The following is a 24,777-nucleotide window of genomic DNA, read 5'->3' as shown; positions in this document are numbered from 1 at the left end:
GCCATTTTAAAGAGCTTTAGACCTAAATGTAGCCAGGTACATTAAGTCCCTAGGAGAAACACAATCCAGCCTCAGAATTCTACTACACCCACAACAACTCTGCAGGGCAATGTCGTCACTGATATTTTGCAGTGAAGCAGAGAGGTGCAGTGAATTATCCAAGATCACAGGGCTAATGTATGTTGTAGTTGGATTTCTGATACAGTGATACCTTGCTCAAAGGTTGAGCTCTGTGTATTCCTGTGACGATTATCTTTTCTTTCATAAGTAGAGGCATTTTTTACAGGTGAGTTGGGTCTTAGCAACTCTATTTTGGAGGAGAGGTGTGTGCTTGTGGTAGGATTAAACTTATATGATTTAGTGTAGGGGAAAAGCACAGTAAGTTTTAACTGGCCGTTCCAAGTGGAAAATATATTTTATTCCTTGTATTTGAAGAAATGTGTTCTTGGAAACTAAAAATGCAAACAGTATGTGACTATGGATGTATTTCCACTATCCTAGTCTCCCTACTGGCAACAGAGTCTCACGAAGGAAGGAAATTAGGGACAGTGTCTAGATAGAAGTGGAGGACAGTGGTATGGACTGAAATTGTTTCTATAATAAGCCCACCAGCTTTATGCTACTGTGAGATTTATATTTTTTCCTACAGTTGCACAAAAGTGAATTAATCCTAATTTGGTTTCGGAGAACATTTTCAATCTCTGGTTCATGTTTTATCTACTTTATTTAGTTATTGAATTATTTAAAAATAGTCATTAAAGAAGGAATATAATAATTATATCTGAATCAGCTATCCCAATGCAATTTTGTTTTTTTTTCTTTTCTTTTTTTTTTTGAGATGGAATCTCCCTCTGTTGCCTGGCTGGAATGAAGTGGCTCTATCTCGGCTCACTGCAACCTCTGCCTCCTGGGTTCAAGTGATTCTCCTGCCTCAGTCTCCTGAGTAGCTGTGCAGCACCACGCCCAGCTAATTTTTGTCTTTTTAGTAGAGAGGGTTTCACCATGTTGGCCAGGATGGTCTCTATCTCTTGACTCTGTGATTCACCCACCTTGGCCTCCCAAAGTGCTGGGATTACAGGTGTGAGTCACCGTGCATTGCCCCCAGTGCAGTTTTCATCCTAAATATGATTCGCATTGTCTCCACAAATTCTTTTCTTTGCTTCTGTCTTGACTCAAGCAAACTATTTTTCACTTACATTGAATATAACCATAAAATGGTACTTTTCACAGTATTTTTAACATATCTAATCTTATTAATTTCTAATATCTTCTAAAATCATTCTAAAATTTAATCTAGTATCTAAAATATATTTCAAAAATATCCCTATCATAAAATAGTTTGCATATACATGTTTAATTTTGGAGTTGTTTCACTGCAAAGAGAAAAACGCTGGGAAACTAAAGACCACCACACATAGCCCTAAGCCACTCTTTGTAGTAACATCCTCACCCCAATGCTTAATAAGCATTGATGTAGTCCCACTAGTACCCTTAGTGTAGATGCAGAATTTACCCACTTACCTCTTGACCTTCATTTAAAAAATAGACTATTAATAGCATCCTCTTCATCATCAAAAGGACAATAAGGATGATTGGAGAAAACATTTCTTAGTGTGGATTTTATTGCTTATACTAAACTGAAACCATGATTTAAGTTTCTGGGCACTCTGTCTGTGGAAAAAGAAAACACACAGTTTAGATTTCTGATCTTTATCCTTGTTGAGATACTTTGCATTCTCTTAGGGGCTGAGAATTCAGGCTGTTTCTGATTTAAAGTGCCCACATATTCAGGCAAAGTGTTTGACTACAGCAAAATTTCACCTTGCAGATTGTTGTGTTTGAAGTAGTGTTTTCACAATATGAAATTAGCTGTCTGCATTTATAATGGAGAGAATCCACATTAAAATGAGAACTTTTAGCTTCCCTTGAAAAAATATCAGAAGTATTGGAAATGCTGAGGTGGTTACCTGATGGAACCAGTTGGCTTGAGCTGAGTAGCAGTCCCTTTTGAAGGGCAATACCCTTTAGCTCACCACTCGGTCAACTCAGCACAGCCTTCTACTTATGTTATTTGCTAGGCCCCTGTTGAAATTGGCATTTTTAATCCCTGAAGCACAGAATATTAATGAAATGCCTCTAGAACCAGAGTCTCTGTATTCTAGACCTGAGACTTTTGTAGTGTTAGTGTTGCAACTCTGAAAATTCACTTAACCTCTTTGAACCTTGGCATTACTCATCTGAAAAATGACAATAGTTGGAATTCTATTGTTTAACGTAGAAATTCTGTCTTATGCATTCAAGAGGAAAAAAAAATCAACTGTGTGTGTATGTACATGTTTTAAGCATTTGAAATTGGTGTTAGGAACTACAACAATAATTCAGTAATGCTGTGGATCAGATATCCATGTAGTAAAAGTGCACTTGTATTCCTTCAATTTATACCAAAAAAAATTAAGCTTAAAATGTAATGATTTGGTTTTCGTTATTTCATTTTTCCCTATCTACAAAGTATGTTGTAAATAAACATCCAATAAATATGTGTTTAAATGACAACTGATGAGGAGGTGTCTGTTGCCTACATAGGCATTAAATAGAGAAAATGACTTTGGGGAAATAAATTCTAGTGCATTTTCTTTTACTATTTTATTTTATTTTGTTGTTCTCTTTTTTTGGAAGACAAGGCAGAAAAAAATAGCAGAGTTGCTAAAATAAACAATATTAAGGGCTCTAGGTCACAAATTTATTACTTTGTCTTACACAATTTTAACAGAGATTTGGGTTTTTTGGACTCTATAGCTTTTGTCCAGGTTAAACGCAAGGTGAGCTGAGGTTACAGAGTGGATGCTCTATGAAAATGTTTGCTCATATTATTTGGTTGATTTTTCACTGCATGTAGGTAGGCATCAGCTGCTGATTCTTCCCTTAGCAGCAGATGCTCCAATTTGTTCTCCTTAGGGCCCTCAGATAATTGCATGGAGCTCTGGAATAGCCCCATTTTCTCTGTGTGTTATGGCCCAATTTACTTTTTAGCAGACTCGTATCATTGGTGCCAAAAAGATGTGCTATACTGTAGTAATGAAATCTCCCTGACGAAAACAGACATAAAAGGAAGAAATAAGCCACAAAAATTTTCTTGCTAATTGCTCTTAAATGATTATAGGTTCACCCCACTGCTTTCTGACACTCTTATTAAGCAGTGTAATCTTATTATCCAGGATGTTCATAAAGATTAAAAACTCCCCAGCATCGAATCACCATGCCTTCTTACACAATTAAAAATCTCAAAGATTCCTCTAGATTTGTCTTGCTGGCTGAGTTATGGAAATTCTACTCTTCTTTAGAGACAATGCTACAGAATGGAATCATGTACATACCTATAAAGATATATTAAAATTACATGGCAGAACAAAAGGTGAACTTGGTAAGTAAATGTGACATTTAAAAGTTCTTGTTATTATGGCTTTTAAAAACTCAATTATTTATGAACATTCATTTTCAGTTCTCAGAGGAATAATGACCCAGTTATTATTATGGAAACTGTAGGGGTGCAACATGAAAATGATTTGCTTTTGAAACTTCATCTATCACGTATTTTAGTACTGTTAGAGGAAATATTTCTATAAGGTTTAAAAAAATAAGCATAGAATGGTTTTGGATTTTTGTTCTATGAAAAAAATTATTAAGGGTAAGAGTGTTTTATATGGTATATGGGGCAGACCAAGGAGAGAGTTCAGAAAGTGAATAAATTCAAAATCGTAGCACTTTTGCCAGATAAAGTCAGTCAGTTCATACATAGAAATATCATGTATTGATTATTTATATTACCAGAATTCATTCATAAGACAATTTGTCAAATTAAAGTGTTTTTGCCTTCCTTATTTTTTGCTATTTGGTTTTACTGAAACTTTAATCCACATTCAGGAAATGCATTTCACATACCTATACTCAATTTTTAAAATTAATTGACACATAATAATTGTACATTTATGGGGATGGGCACAGTGGCTCACTCCTGAAATCCCGGCACTTTGGGAGGCTGAGGCGGGCGGATCACCTGAGGTCAGGAGTTCGAGACCAGCCTGACCAACATGGCAAAACTGCATTTCTACTAAAAAAAAAAAACAAAAATTAGCCAGACGTGGTGGTGGGCACCTATAATCCCAACTACTCAGGAGGCTGAGGGAGGAGAATGGTTTGAACTGGGGAGGCGGAGGTTGCAGTGAGCCGAGATCATGCCATTGCACTCCAGCCTGGGCGACAGAATGAGACTTTGTCTCAAAAAGAAAAAAAATTGTACATTTATGGTATACAGTGGCATGTTTTGATACATGTATATAATGTACAGTAATAAAATTAGCATAATTAGCATATCCATTATCTTAGAAATTTATCATTTCTCGATGGTGAGGACATTCCAAATCCTCTCTTCTAGCTATTTTAAATATACAATTTATTATCATTATTAACTATAGTCACCCTGTGCGAAATTGAATGCCATACTTCATTCCTCTTAACTGCAACTTTGTCCCTCTTGATTGACTTTTCCTATCTCTCCTCCCTGCTACCCTTCCTCACCTCTAGTAATCATGATTCTACTCTCTACTTCTGTAAGATCTGCTTTTTTGGATTCCACATGAGTGCAATCATGTAGTATTTGTCTTTCTGTGCCTGGCTTTTTTCACTTTAAGTATGTCCTACAGGCTAATCCATGTTGGCTGCAAATGACAGGATTTCATTCTTTCTTATGGCTGAATAGAATACTGTTGTGAAGTTACACCACGTTTTGTTCTTCCATTCATCTGTTGATGGACATTTGTACTGATTGCATTGCTGGGTTATTGTGAATGGTGCTACAATAAACATGGGAGTGCAGATATAACTTCAACATACTGATTTTCTTTCCTTTTGAAATATACCTGGCAGTTGGATTGCTGGATCATATGGTATTTCTATTTTTAATTTTTTTGGGAACCTCCATACTGTCTTCCATAGTGACTATACTAATTTACATTCCCACCTCAGTGTTTTAGAGTCCCTCTTTCTCCACAAGCTTGCCAGGATATGTTATTTTTTGTCTTTTTGATAATAGCTTTTCTAACAGGGATGAGACATTATCTCATTGTGTTTTATTTGCATTTTCCTAAAAATTAGCAATTTTGAGAATTTTTCCTCTTTAATTTCTTTCATCATTGTTTCATAGTTTTCATCATAGAGATCTTTAACTGCCTTGATTAATTTATTTCTAAGTATTTTAAGATTATTTTGGTAGCTATTGTGAATGGAATTGCCTTTTTGATTTCTTTTTCAGATAGTTCACAACTGATGTACAGAAATGCTACTGATTTTTGCATGTTGATTTTGTATCCTGCAACTTTACTAAATTTATTAGTTCTGGCAGTTTTTCGGTGGGATCTTTAGGGTTTTCTTATATAAGATCATGATGTCTGCAAGTAGAAACAAGTTGACTTCCTTGTTTTCAGTCTGGATGCTTTTTATTTATTTTTCTTGCCTAATTGCTCTGGCTAGGACTTTCAATGCTATGTTAAGCAAAAGTGGTGAAAATGGGCATCCTTGTCTTCTTTCAGACAAGAATGCAAAGAGGAAAAGCTTTTAACTTATCCCCATTAAGGGTGATGTTAGGAATGGGTTTGCAAAATAAGGGCTTTATTGTGTTGAGGTATATTTCTTCTGTATCTAATTTGTTGAGAGTTTCTTTCATGAAGAGACATTGAATTTCATCTAACCTTTCCCATATCACAGATCCAGAGAAAGCCCAGTCTCACCTCTAGCCTCTACCACCTATTCTTATTTAAGTTAGTAAACATTGATATAATCAATTGACAGATGAAGAAAATGAGGCACATAGCAGTTAATAACTTGCCAAAGTGACAAAATGACTCCAATAAACTGCAGAATCAGCATCTGAAGTCAGGCCGCACTCAAAATCTGATGTGCATTACTTTGGAACTTTTATTACAGAATAGTTATAGTCTATATTATATAATTGTTTTTGAATTATAGTCTATATATAACTTCGGAGGAATTATCTTCTCTTTTTTATACTTTGAGAAAGTAGAAGCTCAGGACACTTATTCTAGCTATTTTCTAAAACAAAATAAATATGAATACTCCATTCTATGTTGATAAAACTCAAATTGTAGGTACTCTGTAAAAACATTACTAATTGTACGGACAGAAGTCTTCCAGTTTTAAAGTGTCTACATACAAAGAGACAACATTCTTTTTTTTTTAATGTATGCTTATGCCACATAGGAGAAACAATAAATGCAACAACCAGATCCAGCCTCTGCTCAAAAATGAACCTCTAAATGTTCCACTTCTAACTTCATTGGGTGACAGTAGAAATTTTGCTTTAAAATTTCAAGACAAAATTTTCAGTATCTCTGATGACTATCTACAATGCTCTTTATGACAATGTTGAATTTTACCTGAACCCTGTGATCCTAGTAAACATTGAAGGTTAAGGAATTCCCCTGACCTTTTATGTTCCCTGAAAAGGTCTACTGCAATAAATCATCCTTCCCAAATCACTCAGATTATAGATTCATGGATGTCCCCATTGCTACCTATTGCAAAAACATACTGACCCTCCAAATAATCATTCTTTGCTTCATAAATTATTAGCTATACTCCTTGTCCCTGCTGATCAATCAACACAAAATGACGGTTAAAACACAACACAACAACACTAACAATAAATTTGGTTAAGTTTCTCTTCTTTCCCAGGGCTTTGTTGCCCAGCATGCAATTCCTCCTTAACAGCTTTTCCTGAGAATAGCCTGGTCTCAAGGTAAAATAGTCTCTGATCTCTTCTTTGATGACAGTCATTTCTTTCTTACCTTGTTCATTTCTCTCTACAAAAGCAAAATGCATTTTGCCTAGCCCTTAAGATGCTTGCAGATCTAATGATCAGTGTTCTTTCCATTGAATAATTCTCCTCCCATATTGCAATAGTCCTTTCCTCTCTTGCAATAATCCTTCCAATTAGTCTCTCCTTACTTAGTCCAGATTTATTTTTTTATTTGACAATTATAAAGAAAAAAATGAAAATACAGCACCTCCATTCCCATTAGTGTGTAACCGCTATGATAAAGTTTATAAAGACACTTTAATATTAGTACTGAAAAGCATAATAAATAAAAGCAGCAGGTATCCCCGAAGCCTGGCTGTAATGGTGGGTATCAGAGAAAGGTAGGATGCTTCTCTTTGCTCTTTTAATATAGTTAACGGTCCTTATGAGCCTAAAGAGAGAATAAAGCTAGTAATAGAAGGTCATTTCTGAAAGATTTTTTTTTTTCTTAGCTGCTCAAAGATAAAATTGTGGTTCCTGGGCCACAATAGCATTATGACTATCTTGTGTCAATTTTGATGAGCAGTTGACAGGTGGCACTTATTTTTCTGAATAACCACTTTGAAGAAACATGAATACCTTTTTAAATAAAATGGATTCATTTTGATAGTATCTTGTTCAAATAATTTTACATTCAGATGTGGAAATAAAAGGTAAATAACAATATATTTTGTGGTAAAAGAAAACATGGATTTTGGTAGGAAAATGTTATTAACTAAACCACCAAATGACTCGTAAAATAGAAAATTTGTAGATTTTGGGGGGTAGGTGGGAAGGAGGAGACTAAAAAGGACTGGAGCTATAGTTTGGGAAGGGCAGGAGAGACTGCTTGCTAGAAGCTAGAAATGCTGCCAGATTGAAGTCCAGTCAAGCTAAGAAAAGTTTGGAGGCAAATGATGTGCCATTGGTCTACTTTGTGCTACTCATAGCAAAGAGAATTCCAGGAAATAGAAGAAGTTGTACATGCCAAGATACAGGCTTTTCCATCACAAGTATTTCTGGTCCCTCAGAAGCTTTCATCAAGTTCCCAGCATTTGTGACCTCAAAAAAATGTTTACCAAGAAAGAACTATTTATTCTATTGTAGAACTTTGATCCTTAGTTCAGCTTAAATGGGGTTCTTGTCCCCTTTACTCTCAAAGGGAAAGGGGACTGGAAAGCTTGGAGGAAGAGGTTAAGAGACTTGAGGAGATCATGTAACTCAACATCCAAATTGCAAGAGTGCTAGAAAAAAAATACAAAGAAAACTGAGGAGTCAATGACATACAAATTAGTCATATCTGAGCATGTCCTAAGACAGAGCTACTCATGTATTTATATACTAACTAAATAATTTGTTTTTAATATAGAATGAAAAAAATAGGAAAAGTTAAGCACACAGACACATCAAAGTGTGAGGGGAATGGAATTTATTGGGCAAAGAGGAAAACAAGAAAAAAACTTCCAGCAAAGCAAGAGGGAGTCCTGCTAACAGGCCCCCCACCTCACAGATTGATTCCAGGCCACCCACAGGAACTAAAGAGGCCAAGCTCCTCCCCTCTACAAGCTGAGAGAACTTCCAGTGGCTCCACCCCATTCTCCCAGTGCTCAGGCCAGTTGGAGATGCTCTAGGGGACTCCCCTCTTATCTGCCTCCTGCATCTATCAGTTCCACGGGTGGACCAACCCTGCCTGACCCAAAGTACTGCACGTTGCATAAGTAAGAGGCACTTTCTAGGACTGTCAAATGGTGTGATTTCAGGGGATCTTCTGCAGCTACATTTTTTTTCTGGCTTTCTCAGTAGCAGAGTAATACTCTGTGAATCACAAATATTTTTTTCTTTCTATATTAAAACAAATACTTGGTTAGGATACAAATGCATGATTAACTCTGTCTTGGGACATGCTCAGACATAACTAATTTATATGTCATTAACTCTTCAGTTTTCTTTGTATTTTTTTTCTAGCATTCCTTCAATTTAGGTGTTGGGTTACATGATCTCCCCAAGTCTCTTACCTCTTCCTTCATGCTTTCCAGTTCCCTTTCCCTTGGGAGAGTAAAGCTCAATTAAACACACCTGCTCATTAGTTTGCTTTTCAACAGTTCCCATTGTACTCTTTAGCCTGTGTATTGAGACTTTTTTCATTTTAAAAAAATTCAATTTTTATTTTATGGTGTTACTGTGTTTGTATGTGTATGTATGTTTAAAGCCATACTTATTTTAAAATCTGATCTTATAACAGTTTCTTTATGTCTAAATGTTTCTCTTCATTGAGCCTGCTGTTTCTTTGTTATGGTGTGTGCTTTCTTCAGTCTTGCTTTGTCAGTCTTGATATTGTTATGTTGGGACTCCCTGCTGAGAGCTGAGACTATCTACATTCACAGCTCTTACTGTCTACATTAGCATGTTTTTCCTCCTCCACTGACTTCATCAACTTAACTTTAGTATTACAGCAAATTCTTGCCCAAGAAGATTACAATTGCAAATGACTTTATTTTTCATTCCAGCAACTTACTGAATGGTATATGTCAAGACCCTTTGAATTACTTTTCTCAAAATTCTCTCCTCCCTGCGTTCACAATTCTAAGCAACTACATTATGACGCTAGCCCCATCTTAACCAAGTTCCACATTGAAAAACTTGCACCAGACTTCAAAATCTCAAAAAATATATTTCTTGCCCCTCTGCTGAGGTAGCGTTCACTTTTACCATGGTAAAAAATAAACTCAGCTTTGTCTCATCAACAAGTTGTTTTGGTTGTATCTTATTGAGTCAGCATTCAACATTGCTTGAAATTGAAGAAAGTCATAAAGTTTTGGAGTGAGCAAAGTGTTGCATGCTCTGTGTGGTTTTCAATGAGAGCAGAGGCAAGTAAGCCCTGTTGCTCGGTGGAATGCCTGGTCATTGGGAGCTCTCCATTTCTTCTGGATAATAGCAGCCCACAGAGATTGATTTTCTCTCTCCTCTCCGATAGCAGCCATACTCACTGCTTTCCAGCTCCAGTCAGACAGTATCGTTAAATCTTACTAGACTGCCACCTGTAAACCAGAAATTTAAAAGCTATAATTTATATTTAATCACGAATCAATTTTAATTGAATACAGACTGTTTAAAAAAGTGCAAATATTTATTAAATCATTTTTTGATTTATAGACAGGGGAATACAATGAAGCAGAAATTTCCCAGACAGTAGTTGCTAATAGAAAAAAAAAGATTATAGAAAATGAATCTGTCAGAAGATAAGCCTCAAGGAAGTCATAACCTTGATTCAGGTGATGCCAATTTATTTTGACCTCTTTGGGGAGAAAGCTACTGATGACTTTGTATCATAAAAGTACTCATACAGACAGCTGTTTTCATTATGAAAATTCATTCTATACTTGAATGAAATAATTCGATCTTAATCTGTTTTTTGAGAAATCACTGTATTATAGACATTGATTTTTTGAAACATTTTCTATAAATAATATATGCTATATTTTATAAAATATGTTTTCACTTTGTAATATAAAAATTATAAACAAAACAACAAACTCAAAAACAATTTCTATCTTTCCTTCTTCCATTTTTAAAATTTGAAGTTTGCTACTCCTTACTTTATTGATTGATTGACTGATAAATGCCAGTTTCCTAAGATTGACAGTGACTTATAAAACCATTATCAAGAAGACTTTGTGTTTAATCTTGATTTTCCAAATCTTCTTTCTTAAATAAAAAAAAAAAAACCCTTTTGTAAATGTTTACATTAATGCAGTTACTATTCCAAATATTTCCCCCTATATAGCTCAGTTCAGCCATGAAATGTGACAGTTTAATACGGTGTCTCCGAAGCTGGAAGATTTGTCTGTTTAGATCTAATTCTAAGGAGGTCAGAACAACTGAAAATCATTAGTCTTCATCATTAGTAATTCTTGTATTTGAAAGCAGTTTTTGACCTTGAATTTGTATGCTCATTGTAGCAATTTAATTCCTGCAATGACATCATTTGGATATAGTTAGGATGCTTTAATGGAAATGAGAATTTTTTAAATTTTTCATCTATCCACTGTCTTACAACTTTTCCACTAAATATCATCACATTCCAATGTTTTATTTTCTGATGTTATTTTTCATATTAATAAACATTTTCAATAAACTTTGAAACAATAATTAAGTGAAAGATACATGATGACACCTTAAGAGTTCAGATCAGTGATGGAGATAGCAAGCAGCTCATATTTGCATATTTCTCTAAAGTTTCTTACTTAACTACAAAATATTATGCCTGCTTTTGTATTGAACACATCCCTCTGATGCAGTTAGAATCAAAGGTTATTCCTAATTTTCAGGTATGTACCTAAGGCTCATCTTAATCAGATCTAATTGATAGCTGGTATAGTTGGAAAGGACTTTAGATGTTACTATGCATCTAGATTGTTGAAATATTACCACAATTCCATGTATACACATAGAAGTCAATGGAAGTACCACAATTCCATCTATACACATAGAAGTCAATGGAAGTACTATTTCTTCACCCACGATGTTCTGAAAGTGGAGATTGCTTTACTTTCCTACTAAAAACTCATTGTGATTTTGCAGTTTGAGAACACATTTTTCTGTATTTTGGGAGAAAATTTATTTTCTATTTAAAGATAGCCTCTCATTTTTTTTTTCTCATCCTCTGATGTCCCTTTAGACATATATCTAGACTTTTATTCTGTCTGGCTAGCACAATCCTCATCTTAAATTCACTGTGATAGAATCTTAGTAATGTCTTCAGATCTGTTCGCCAAATAATTAAGTAATTAACAACTTAACTAATTTGGTCTGTAATTGATCCCTTTTCAATTTAAAGGGCAATATTAATCTTTTCTGGAATTTATGCATTGTTTAAATGTTCTAGGTGCATTATCTAGTTCTCCTTTCTCTCTATGAATACTTTAGCTATTTTTTTTTGTAAAATAAATTTCTGGCTTATATACGTGTGGATTTGTGGGTGTGAATTTTCCCTTTTTTCTGCTAAGTCACTTTCAGAGGAAATGAAGTATTTCTGTGCTTTGTAATTTTCTGTGTGAACAATTCTTCAAAGGCATTGTCTTTAGAATAAATCTCACGCGGCGCTGGGTTGTAGAAGTACCTGTGGGGAATGAGTGTGATTCATCTCTGCTAGAGACTGTGTTGGGTAGTCTAATATCAACTTGACATCAACCTCACCACTGTTTTGAGGTGTCCTCTGCACTCTCAAGGAGAAGCAGGAAACTTCATTTTCGAGAATCTTTTTTCCTACAGTCTTCTAGATTATAGTTTACCATTAAGAAAAACTCCTGCAATATTTAGAAGGTATTTTCTTCCAGTCTCATGGGCAGATTGAAGCATCGCATCAGATTTTAAATAAGCGTGTGAGAGGCACTCATTTTGCTCGGCTGAGGAGACAGTTAAGAGTTATTAACTAGCCAGTCAACTTTTTGAAAACCACCTAATTTAGTGCTTAACATGAATACTTTGTCATTTGCTTTTCTCCCGCCTACAAGTATCTTGCATTTGATGACAGTTTCTCTGACTGTAGGTTCCCCAGCTCTCCCTACAAACACATATACCCAATGCATTTATTAAACCAATCATTTTATTAAATTGACTTTGTTTTCCTGGTGGAACCAAGACTGATAGAAGTCCCTATAGAAATACTTTGAGTCTGAGTAATTTTTACGTTAGGTTTTCAGATAGATGTTTTATCACCCAGAAACCATGGGCTTCAGGATTAGGCTTCTGTTTAGTTATAGTTGGCACTCTCTCAACTCAATCTCTCCCATCAGTCTGCTTCCTGGGAAGAACTTCCACACTGGCAGTGCCTTTCCCATTCATGGATAGGATTATTTCTTTCGGTTTTGTCATGATCTGTGGCCTTGTCTCCACCATCAATTCATGGGCATTGCCCAGCACATTTGATTTCCACAGCCTCATATCTACAGTGACCAGATAACATTTTACCCAACCCAGAAAACATCTCAGAGTATAAAGGGTGCTTTTAATTAAGCCAGTACAATAGGCATGTACTGGAGCATTCCAGGCAAATTAGGACACCTAACACATATGCCACACATCTTCTACCTCATTTGTGTATTCGCTGAACATTTCCATTTCTTAATTATTATCATTATTATTATTATTATTATTTTGAGACAGAGTTTTGCTCTTGTTGACCAGGCTGGACTGCAATGGAGCAATCTCCGCTCATTGCAATCTCCGCCTCCCGGGTTCAAGTGATACCCCTGCCCCAGTAGCTGGGATTACAGGCATGTGCCACCATACCCAGCTAACTTTTTATATTTAGGAGAGACAGGGTTTCAACATATTGGTCAGGCTGGTCTGGAACTCCTGACCTCAGGTGATGCACCCACCTTGGCCTCCCAAAGTGCTGGGATTACAGGCGTGAGCCACTGCACCTGGCCCATTTCTTAATTTTAAGCTTGACTCAATCTCTCTCTCTCTGTCTATTGTTACATATATATATATATATATATATATATATATATGTGTGTGTGTGTGTGTGTGTGTGTGCGCGTGTGTGTATGTATACCTATAAATATATGTGTGTGTATATATGTGTATGTGTGTGCATGTCTGTCTATTGTGAGTATATATATATATACACCTATACATATATATACTCACAATAGACAGACATGCACACACATACACATATATACACACACAAATATCTGCTTTGGTTTGAATGTGGTGTCCTCTCTGAAACTCATCTTGAAACCTAATCACCAAAGTGATGGTATTGGAAGATGGGACCTCTGGGAGGCTCTTTCCTCACTCATAGTTTACGACCCTTATAAAAATGCCTTGCAGGAGTAAGTTCATGGTTCACCCTCTTCTCTTCTGCCATGTAAGAATGTAGCATTGATCTGCTTCTTTGTGCTTCTGCTTTCTACTACATGAGGATGCAACAAGAAGGCCTTCACCAAATGTTGGTGCCTTGATCTTAAACTTCTCAGCCTTCAGAAATGTGAGAAATAAATTTCTGCTCTTTATAAATTACCCAGTCACAGGTATTTTGTTACTACGGCACAAACAGACTAAGAGATATTCCATATTATAATCAACATTTGTGTGCTTTCATAGCAGGGACATAGCAGTCTCTCTATATTTATGTAATAAATATATATATTACCTATTGAGTATGATATATATTTTACATATTATATTCAGAAGCTGTATGTTTTCATGACAAAACCAGAGCCTATTTTATAACCCAAATATTTTATATTTTATATAACCCAAATATTTTATTTTATTTTATATGTCTATTTTATGTCTATTACTTTATATGTCTATTTTATGTCTATTTTATAACCCAAATATTTGCTCCACGCTTTTTAAACTAATGTGTACTACTTTCGGGGGGATAATATTGGTAATCAATAAAAGAGATTTTTTATGCAATTGTTAATACAACAAATATTTAAAATGCTTTTTCACACTATTTATACTGAGAACATATTTTAGTAGAAAATACTAACTTGTGATAACCATAAAGAATGCTCTATACCGAAGACCCAGAAACGTAGGTCCCAATTCTTATTCTGCTCCCAGTGAACCTCATGACCCAAGAAGATTCCTAAACTTCTTAGCATTTTCCTCATTTGTAAGATGTGAGCTTAATAGTTTCCAGTACTGAATATCTCTTCCACTTTAAGAAGTCAAGTCTATCATTCAAATAAGTGTATTATTTTTCTATGTATTAAAGAAGATATATTTCAGAGATAGTGTTGACATTAGAGGGAATGATATTTGCCCTTTTTATTATGAATATATGACCTCTTAAGAGATCTTGTTTCTAGGCCGGGCACAGTGGCTCATGCCTGTAATCCCAGCACTTTAGGAGGCCGAGGTGGGTGGATCATGAGGTAAAGGGATCAACACCATCCTGTCCCACATGGTGAAACCTAGTCTCTACTAAAAATACAAAAAATTAACTGCGTGTGGTGGTGGGCGCCTGTAGTCACAGCTGCTTGAGAGGCTGATGCAGGATTGCTTGAACCCAGGAGGCAGAGGTTGCAGTGAGCCGAGATCATGCCACTACACTCCAGCCTGATGACAGAGCAAGACTCTGTCAAAAAAAAAAAAAAAAAAAAAAAAACTTTTTTCTTGTAACATCCTGGTTTTTCACTGGTGTTCCAAATATGGAATACTTGCCTTTGATAGCACTGTCAGTTTGTGAGGTGAACTGCAAAGCCTAATCAGGGTTCAAAGACTAGCAAGAATGACAACTCAAACTCGGCTGAAATTGCTATCATTGCAGTTTACCACTGTCCCAGCAAATAAGGGACACAAAGGACACGCCAGATAAGGATGTGTGTGAGTGGAAACAGTTCCCTGGTATCTCTTTAGTAGCTTCATGAGTGGGAAAGAGATAAAGTTTGTTGGTGATTGTATCCCATGTAGAATACAAACACTGAACAGGCCAGGAACACAAACAACAACCACAAAGAAACCAATGGACATTGTGACATTTATACGATTCAGCTAACAGAGATCTATCCCTTCCAAAAAGTAAGTGTTGGCTGCAAAAGTTTCATACTTCAACGATATTTCCTTTTGGCCCATTTGGACCCAAAGTGGCTTTAATCATGGCTGACCAACTGACCACAGTATTTTTGACAGTCAGACATTAATCTGCCAAGTTATTACACTTATTTTTATAAACAACTAAAAGAACCATAAACTTTAAATTCTAGAAGCAATGTATGGTTAACTTTTCGTCTTGCTACATAAGGGCTAAATAATAATTGTATTTTAAATTGAATTTTTTTTATTTTATTAAACTAAAATGACAAATTAAGTTTGTGACAGTCTAAGATGAAGTAAGTTAATTAAAAGTAATGACAATTATAATAGTTACAGGTTCTAATATTAGTAAATAATAATTAACATATTTATAATTACTTGAATGTTAGGTACCATAAACCAGTAGCTATTTAAATGCTGAATAATTTAGCTATACTTGAGTAGGTGAATAGTAATTATTATATTAATTATTTTGAATTAAATTATTTTCTACTAGTTAAAATCAATTATTTACAAAGATGCATGTGTATTTTGGAGATGCTTGAAAAATTATATACTCACATAAAATTGGAGTGCACAAATTAGAAAGATAGTTTACCAGATAAAGATCTATAATGAATGAACATTTCAAATCTAACTCACTGTTTTTTCTATCTGTATTTGTCATTTTTAGCTTTTTTATTAGCTGTGGAAAAGTATAGCTAGTCACAAATTCTTTGACACTTCACACCAAGAGGTGGAGTTGAGTTGATGTCCTTTCTTGAATATGGGAGGTTTTTTTAACTGCTTTGACGGACAGTGTATGTCAGAGATAATGCTGTGACAGTTTCTAGGTTCAGGTCTTAGCAAAGTGGCAATTCTCACTTTCTGTCTTTTGGAATAATCTCTCCTAAAACCCAGCCAGGTTCTGAGATGAGCCCCAGGCAGCTTTGAGAAGGTGCTCATTAGGAGTGAAGCTGGGATCCTGGGCTGGCAACTCTGGCTTACACTGCGCTCATAAAAGTGAGCCATCCTGGAAGTGGATTCTCCAGCCTACGTCTAGCCATACCAGTTGATACTCTCTCTATGGAGCAGAGAGGAGCTATCTCACTCAAGCCCTCTGGAATTGCAGATCAGCAATCAAAGTAATTAACTGTTTTTGGTTTGTGCCACTAACTCTTGAGGTCGTTGCCTACACAACTATAGATAATCAGAAGAGAAATCATTACCTCATAAAACTTTCTGTAAACGTAATGCAATTCAGTGATATACAGCATGCCTTTTGTTACTTAGAATATTTTTTCCATCTTTGTGGCTGAGGTATAACTAAAATTAGTTGAAATTTTTCTTTTGAATGAAATTTTCTATACATATTTTATATACTTGAAATACTTGTCCATTATTTGATGTAAGGATGCTGAACATTGGCAAGGATATGTAAGATTCTTCCTCTGGGAAATGTGGGCAATATAAATATAACTAAGATCTCTTAAGGAATAAATTGCCTTGTAAGATATATCACATGATACAAAATATCTATATCTATTTTAAAGAGAATTACTTATGAGACTGATGAGACTACACAGCAAAGGTCACACCTTGTTTGTTGGAATTTTGCCTGAAGTTATTTACTATTATGGTAAAGTTAAGAGGCTGAACTGAAAGGGATATGAACTTTTTGGAAATCTTATTCTTTTCATCAAAGTTGCATTATTACATACTGATGGAATACTTCAAGCTGAATAAAGTGTCTTAACACTCTGCAATCCAGAGTATTTGCCACTAGTAAAAATTACTCTGGACACTTACCTAGGTGACTTCAACTAACAGAGAGAGGTAGAGACAGTTAGACTGTAACCAGTGCTAAACTAGTTACCTACATACAGATATTTAAAAATGATTTTATCATAAAAATGATGCTGAATTCTATAGTTTTTATACACATTATTTTAGAAAGTTAACATGCACAATCAAACATATTGCTGTTTTTACCTATTATGTATACACATACACCTCAATGCTGAATCTTTCCAAATATTCAAGTGGGCTTTTAGCTTGAAGAATTGTAAATCTGCTTCTCTACTTAGAAGCTATAAGAATCTGGAATCAAAGAACATTCTAGACAAAAATGTATCATAAGAAGTCTTAAATTGTAGCAAACAATTTATGTTAAACATACCTGTATTAGAACTTCGTATTAAAACAGAATTGCCCGTGGCTTTAATTAAATACAATTTGATATATAAGTGAGCTACTGTAAATTCTCTACCTCACTTTCAGATTTTTATATTCCTTGGAATAAAATGGAGCATAAGAATTTTCTCCAATAACTTATTTTCTTCAATAGAACTTTGGAGGACATTTGTGGCTACTGAGTATTTCTTTTGAAGGACATTTCTTTTGAAGAACATGTATTTTAAGAAGCTTACAAATGTGAATTTTCCCCATATTGAACATACTTTTTACTTAAATATCGTCATATTGTTCCTTTTTGTTTCTAGTCCTTTCTATCTTCCATCACTAATTGTGGACCTAACCGATGCATTGTTTCTGTTTTCCGTTTTTCATTTGCTTTTTAAACCTATTTTCAGAAAAATCTACTTAAAAACAATAGAAAATAAATGAAAGCCCTGTTTTCAGTTTACAGCTGGGATTTTGCACAGCATGTAATACTAACTGCATCTGTGCAGAAATACTACCATATGGGCGGGAGGGGAATCATTTAATTTAGTTCATATGCAAGAAGTAAGTGAAGAGTTGACTATATTTTAAACCTCACCAAAGCTAAGCAACAGCAGAATTAGGAACAGAATCCAAAAAGTTTCATAATCAGTCTTATGTTCTTTCTAGTAAACTACACCATCTTTTAAGGCTGTTCACTTGTACAGTGCGAATAATATATCTTCTTACTTTGAAATGTATTTTTAAGATCAGTGTAAATAATATATTTTCATTTACTATTTATATCTTTCAATTTTTTGTCAAAATATCATAAATATGTTATTTCAGAGAAAATAAAACATGTATAATACTTGAAAATAACAATCATTTCTGGAAAAAAATCTACATGTATTGCATGAATAAGGACACAATTTTAATCTAAGTAATATAACTTAACTGATGCAAGCCCATAGAGATTAAAGACAGTTTATTACAGTTGATCCTGACTAATGGGACAGTGGTCTTTCAGAGATAAAGGGGAGACAGGATTGAACATGATAAGGATAGCTCAAGAATAGAGAACATAAACCTAAAAAGGAAATTTACATTTATTATTTTCAATAATGAGGTCATGAAAATATTCCATTTGCTTTATAGGAAAAATGCTCACACAAATTATTTCAGGGGAGCTTTTAGTGAATAAGCCTTCAATTTCCTCATCTGTAATATGGGAATAATAATGTCTATGAGGTGGAATCACTGAGAATATTAGTATGGACGTACGTTCTGTGTCTTCTTGGGGAAGAAACTTTTAGGAAGATTCACTACTCTTTTTAAAAAATGTTATTTACTGCTACAGAAAAATGTCTCCTCTGTAAAGTCTTATTTAATTATGGGAGAACCATTAAAACCATGATCTCATAGTGAATTGTGTAAAAATAAAATAATGAAGACTTACATCTATTACAAATAGGAGAGTATTTCTTTTATACAAAAATATAGCCCATTAATAAATCACCAATGTAGATGTTACACATGGTACTATCTACAGATTAGAAGAGGTCTCTCAATCAGACTAAACTGAAACAACTATTAGGATTAATCAACATTTTTCATGGCCTTGATGGTGATACTTGTTGTAATTTCTGATTTAATTTAAATGAATAGTTTGATAAACTAATGAAAACTGCTTGTAAAAGAGTAATATATTCTATTAAAGTTAAATGCATAGTTTACTCTTAAAAAGTGAGTCATTAATAAAATGCTGCCATACAAGATGCAGATAAGGCAACCGTAAAAGCAATAAAAGTAAAGTTTACTGAATAACCAGATTTTAAAGAAATCCATGCTTCTGGTTATTTCATATTTTTATTTGGTATTTTGTTCAACCTTTTTAGTCAACGAGTCAGTAGCATGACTATATTTAACAATAATCAATTGTACATTTCAGAATAGCTAAAGGAGAATAATTTGAATGTTTCTAGCGTAAAGAAAAGATAAATATTTAAGGTGACGGATATCTCAATTATCCTGATTTGATTATATGCATTTTTCAAATTATCACAGGTACCCCACAAATATGTACATCCATTATGTTTCCATCAATCAAACCTCTTCAAAAATATATGCATGATTTATTAAAGAAAGATTCCGTAGGCTTTGAACTGTTTATAATTTACAGATAACGAATAAATAAAGATAGATAGCTAAACAACTTTTCCTTTTTGTTCTCCTTGTTAATCGATTTGTTGATGAATAAACTAATTACCAACCAAATTTTGTAAATAAAACCAAACACGTCTATATATTTTATACAGTATCTGTATATTGCAGGTATTAATATACGTGTTACAATCCATAAAGTTGAAAAAAATTTTTTGAATAGTATAAGAAAAAGAAAGCGCTTTGAAGATTTTACTAAGTTTTAACTCATGTCTCATGTAGAAATTTTCACTGCACAATTTCTGCCAGTTGGTCCTCACGCCCTTGTTTAAAAAATATTTTCACCTCGTGATCTGCCCCCCTCGGCCTCCCAAAATGCTGAGATTACAGACATGAGCCACAGCGCCAGGCCGAGACCACCCTGGCCAACATGGTGAAACCACGTCTCTACTAAAAATACAAAAATTAGCTGGGCGTGGTGGCGGGCGGCTGTAGTCCCAGCTACTCGGGAGGCTGAGGCAGCAGAATCGCTTGAACCCAGGAAGCGGAGGTTGCAGTAAGCCGAGATCGTGCCACTGCACTCCAGCCTGGCAACACAGCGAGACTCTGTCTCAAAAAAAAAAAAAAAAAAAAAAAAAAAAAATTAATCATAATTGAAGAGTATGTTCTGGATTTTTTGTTGAGTTATTATTTTGTTGAGTTGTACATATTGGGAGGTAAGTCATATTGTATTATTTTGCATTTCATTAAAAATCAACCTAAACAAATATTTGGGTACATAGATGGTAGAAGAGAATACAATGGAAATGTCTAAAAAGAAAAGCTACTATCTTAAAATATAAACATGGCTTTTTTTGCTTTTTTCTTTTGGATATTGACTTATTCTATGTTTTATTTTAGAAGACAGAATTGATATAAGGTTTAAGTCTAATATGTAGAAGAACTTAGAAGAACTTACCTGCAAGGAAGTTTGGCTTAAATGGAGTAGAGGAAATGCAAAACAATATCCAAATAAAAGACATTCAAAAACAAATTTAATATTGGACATTTCATGTTCATTATATCTGCAATTGGCAGGAGGTATCATAATGTGACTTTATATTCTCTTTATGTTCTCAAATTTCATGCATAATTGCTTGTGATTCAAGTTGGAGAGGAAGGTAAAGATTTCCCATATATTCCCTGCTTCCACACACACAGGGTCTCCGCCCTTAACAACATCCCTCAACAGAGTGCTACAATTGTTACAATTAATGAACCTATATTGACACATCATTATCACTCAAAATCTGTACTTTACATTAGGGTTCATTCTTGGAATTGTGCATTCTGTGGGTTTGGAACAATTTATAATGACATTTTTCCACCACTTTTTTCTTTTTAATCATGGAGAGTAGTTTCACTGTCTTAAAAATCCTCTGTGATCTACCTATTCATCCCTCCCTTCTCTCCAACCTTACAAATTCCTGATCTTTCTCCTGTCTCCACAGTTTTGCTTTTTCCAAAATGTCTTATTGTTAGAATTATATGGTAGGTAGCCTTTTCAAACGGACTTATTTTGTTTAGCGATAAGTACCTAAGTTACTCCTCTATATTTTCATGGCTTGATAGCACATTTCTTTTAGTGCTGAATAGTATTTTATTGTTCGTTTGTAAGGAAATTTACTTATCCATTTATCTACAGAAGAACATCTTGGTTGCTTCCAAGTTTTGGCAATTATGAATAAAGTTGTTATCATTATGTAAACATCAGAGTGCAGATTTTGGTGTGCATATACCTATTTTAAATTCTTTTGGGTATATTAAGGGAGCTCAATTTCTGGATCGTAAGTTAAGAGTATGATTACTTCTGTAAGAAGCTGCCGAATTGTTTTCCAAAGTGGCTATACCAGTGCATTCCCATCATCGATGAATGAGATTTCCCGTTGCCCTGCATGCTCTCCAGCAGTAGTGTTACGTGTATTCTGGATTTTGACCATTCTAATAGTTGTGCAGTGGCACAGGCATACCTCAGAGATATTGTAGGTTCTATTTCAGATCACCACCATAAAACAAATATTGCAATAAAGTGACTCACTCATTTATTTTTTGTTTTCCAGTTCATATAAAGGTTATATTTGCACTATAATGTAGTCTACCACTACATTTTTACTACTTTGTCAATAGTAAAAAAAGTACTTAATTCAAAAATACTTGTTACTAAAATATGCTATTGTCTGAGCCTTCAGCAAGTCATAGTCTTTTTGTTGAGGGAAGCTTTTGACTGGATTTCAGTGGCTGCTGGCTGATCAAGATGGTAGTTGCTGAGGGTTGGGGTGGCTGTGGCAATTTCATACAATAAGACAACAATGAAGTCAGCTGCATCGATTGACTGTTTTTTTTCCTTGGGTTTTTTTTTTGTAAAATGCCACGCTGTTTGATGGCATTTTACCCATAGTAGAACTTTTTTCAACACTGGAGTCAATCCTCTCAAATCCTACCACTGCTTATCAAATAAGTTGTGTAATATTCTAAATGCATCATGTTCAGCAATGTTCACAGCATCTTCACCAGGAGTAGATTCCATCTCAAAGAAACATTTTTGTGGCTCATTCATAAGAAGCAATTCCTCAGTGATTAAATTGTTATCCTGAGATTGCAGTAATTCAGTCACATCTTCAGGTTTCACTTCTAATTCTAGTTCTCTCACTGTGTTCACCGCATCTGTATTTCTTTCCTCCACTAAAATCTTAAACCCCTGAAGGACATCCATAAGAGCAGGAATCAACTTCTTCCAAACTCCTCCTAATGTTGATATTCTGCTCTCTTCCCATGAATCACAAGTGTTTTTAATGATATCTAGAATGGTAGATTATTTTCAGAAGATTTTCAATGTACTTTGCCCAGATCCATCAGAGAAATCACTACCTATAGCAATTATAGCGTTACATAATGTATTTGTTAAATAATAAGACTTGAAATTTGAAATTACTCCTTGGCCCAAGGGCTGCAAAATGGATGTTGTGTTAGCAGGCATGAAACAACATTAAATTTGTACATCTCCATTAGAGTTCTTGATGACTGGCTGCATTGCCAATGAACAGTAATATTTTGACAGAAATCTTTTATCCTGAGCAATAGTTCTCAACAGTGGGTTTAAAATATTCAGTAAGCCATGATGTAAACAGATATGCTGTCATCTAGATTTTGTTGTTCCATTTAATAATTAGTATAATTCTTAAAGGTCCAAGAATTTTTGGAATGGTCAATAAGCATTGGCTTCAACTTAGTTATCAGCTGCATTCAACCCTAACAAGAGAGCCAGCCATTTCTTTAAAGCTTTGAAGCCAGGAAATTGACTTCTTTCTAGCTACAAGAGTCCTCGATGGCATTCTCTTGTAATAGAAGGCTGTTTCATCTACGTTGAAAGTTTATTTTTTAGATTGGCCATCTTAATCAATTATCCTAGCTAGATCTTTTGAACAACTTGCTGCAGCTTCTACACCAGTGTTTGCTGCTTCACCTTGCACTTTTATGTTACAGAGATGGCTTCTTACTTTAATCCTCATAAACCAACCTCTGCTAGCTTCCAACCTTTCCTCTGCAGTTTTTTTTTACTTCTCTCAGCATTCATGGAATGGAAGAGTGAGTCATGCTCATGATTAAGCTTTAGATTATGGAAATGATGTGGCTGGTTTGATATTCTCCCCAGATCACTCAAACCCTCTTATATCAGCAAAAAAGGCAGTTTTGCTTTCCTATTATTCGTGTATTCACTGGAGTAGCACTTTTAATTTCCCTCAATAACTTTTCTTTTTGTTCACAATGTGTTTAACTGTTTGGCACAAAAGGCTTTGGTCTATCTGGATTTTATTTACTGAATATGTTAGCCACCTTTTTTGGGGCACAGACCTTGGCACTCTAAAACAATTACAATAGTAACATCAAAGGTCACTGATTATACAACACCATAACAGATATAATGATAATGAAACAGTCTGAAATATTGAGAGAATTACCAAAATATAACACAAAATGATGCCAACAGACTGGTTGCATGCAGGGTTGCCACAAACCTTCAATTTGTAAAAAGCTGCAATATCTGCAAAACACAATGAAGTGAAGCACAATAAAGGAAGATATGACTATATGAATGGAGATATTTTATTTTTAATATGATTTTCTGTTGCTATTATACATTGCTTCTTCTCATGCTGGCATATAGAATTTATGTAATTTAATTTTATTTCTGTTTCATATAGCTGGAAAGTGTAGGTAAATAAAATCAATAGTAAGTAATAAAGTAATAGTAAGTAATAAAGTCCCAGTAATAATATAATAGTATTAGACATACAGATGGAATAAATTATTTCTAGTTTATTAAGAACCTTGAACTCATTTAATTCCCACAAATTCCTGTAAAGTTAGTCTTATAATTTCAGATGGGGAAATGGAATCTCTGATTCACTATTGATGGAGGAAGAAATGAGTACACAGCAAGAAAATGAGAAACTTGAAGGCATTCCTGAATTATAATCTAACTTTGTGGTGGAAGACTTGCTAATCACTTTGTTAGAAGGGAGTTAAAAGTGAACAGAGGAAGGGAAAGATTGTCACAGGATACATAGGGTGCCGCTTCTCCAGCTGGAAACCTCTGTGGCCAGCTGCACCTTCTGCCTAAGTATTGCTCATGCCCAGTGGGCTCATCCCACCCACTTGGCCCGACAGGCTAAGCTCAGTTCCCATTACCAGTCCAGATCCCACATCTGCCAAGTGCGAGCCAGGCACAGAGTGGAGAGGGGTGTGTGGGTGAATGAGCGTGGGGTCCAGCCACTGCACACAGCAAGGCACTCTGACTGCTGCGGCAGGGCAGGCAGTTCCAGGTATGAGCACAAGTGCCAGCTCCATGCATGGCCGTGGCTGGGCCATATGTATTGCATGTGACTTCCACTGAGGACACCCATGGCTGGACAAGGAGAACATGGTGGCGCCAGAGGCTTGGATATTCCAAGAACTACAAAGCCTCAAAGAGAATGTCACAGCTCTGGCTTGGGGAGCCCCTAGGTCTGGGCTTCACAAAGGGCCTC

At 35.1% G+C, this 24,777-nt stretch overlaps 2 annotated features.

Moving 5' to 3' along the window:
* Positions 8,274 to 8,568: an enhancer, noted in NCBI's record as "tiled region #8374; HepG2 Activating non-DNase unmatched - State 24:Quies". NCBI's record gives its function as "activates a minimal TATA promoter and a strong SV40 promoter by Sharpr-MPRA in HepG2 cells {active_cell/tissue: HepG2}" and the evidence as "EXISTENCE:reporter gene assay evidence [ECO:0000049][PMID:27701403]".
* Positions 9,601 to 10,139: an enhancer, noted in NCBI's record as "NANOG-H3K27ac hESC enhancer chr21:22033338-22033876 (GRCh37/hg19 assembly coordinates)". NCBI's record gives its function as "activates a minimal SCP1, AML or CMV promoter by ChIP-STARR-seq in naive H9 embryonic stem cells {active_cell/tissue: H9 hESC(naive)}" and the evidence as "EXISTENCE:reporter gene assay evidence [ECO:0000049][PMID:30033119]".

The sequence above is a fragment of the Homo sapiens genome, chromosome 21 (assembly GCF_000001405.40).
Source record: "Homo sapiens chromosome 21, GRCh38.p14 Primary Assembly".
Lineage (NCBI taxonomy): Eukaryota > Metazoa > Chordata > Mammalia > Primates > Hominidae > Homo > Homo sapiens.
This window is presented reverse-complemented; position numbering and strand designations above follow the sequence as displayed.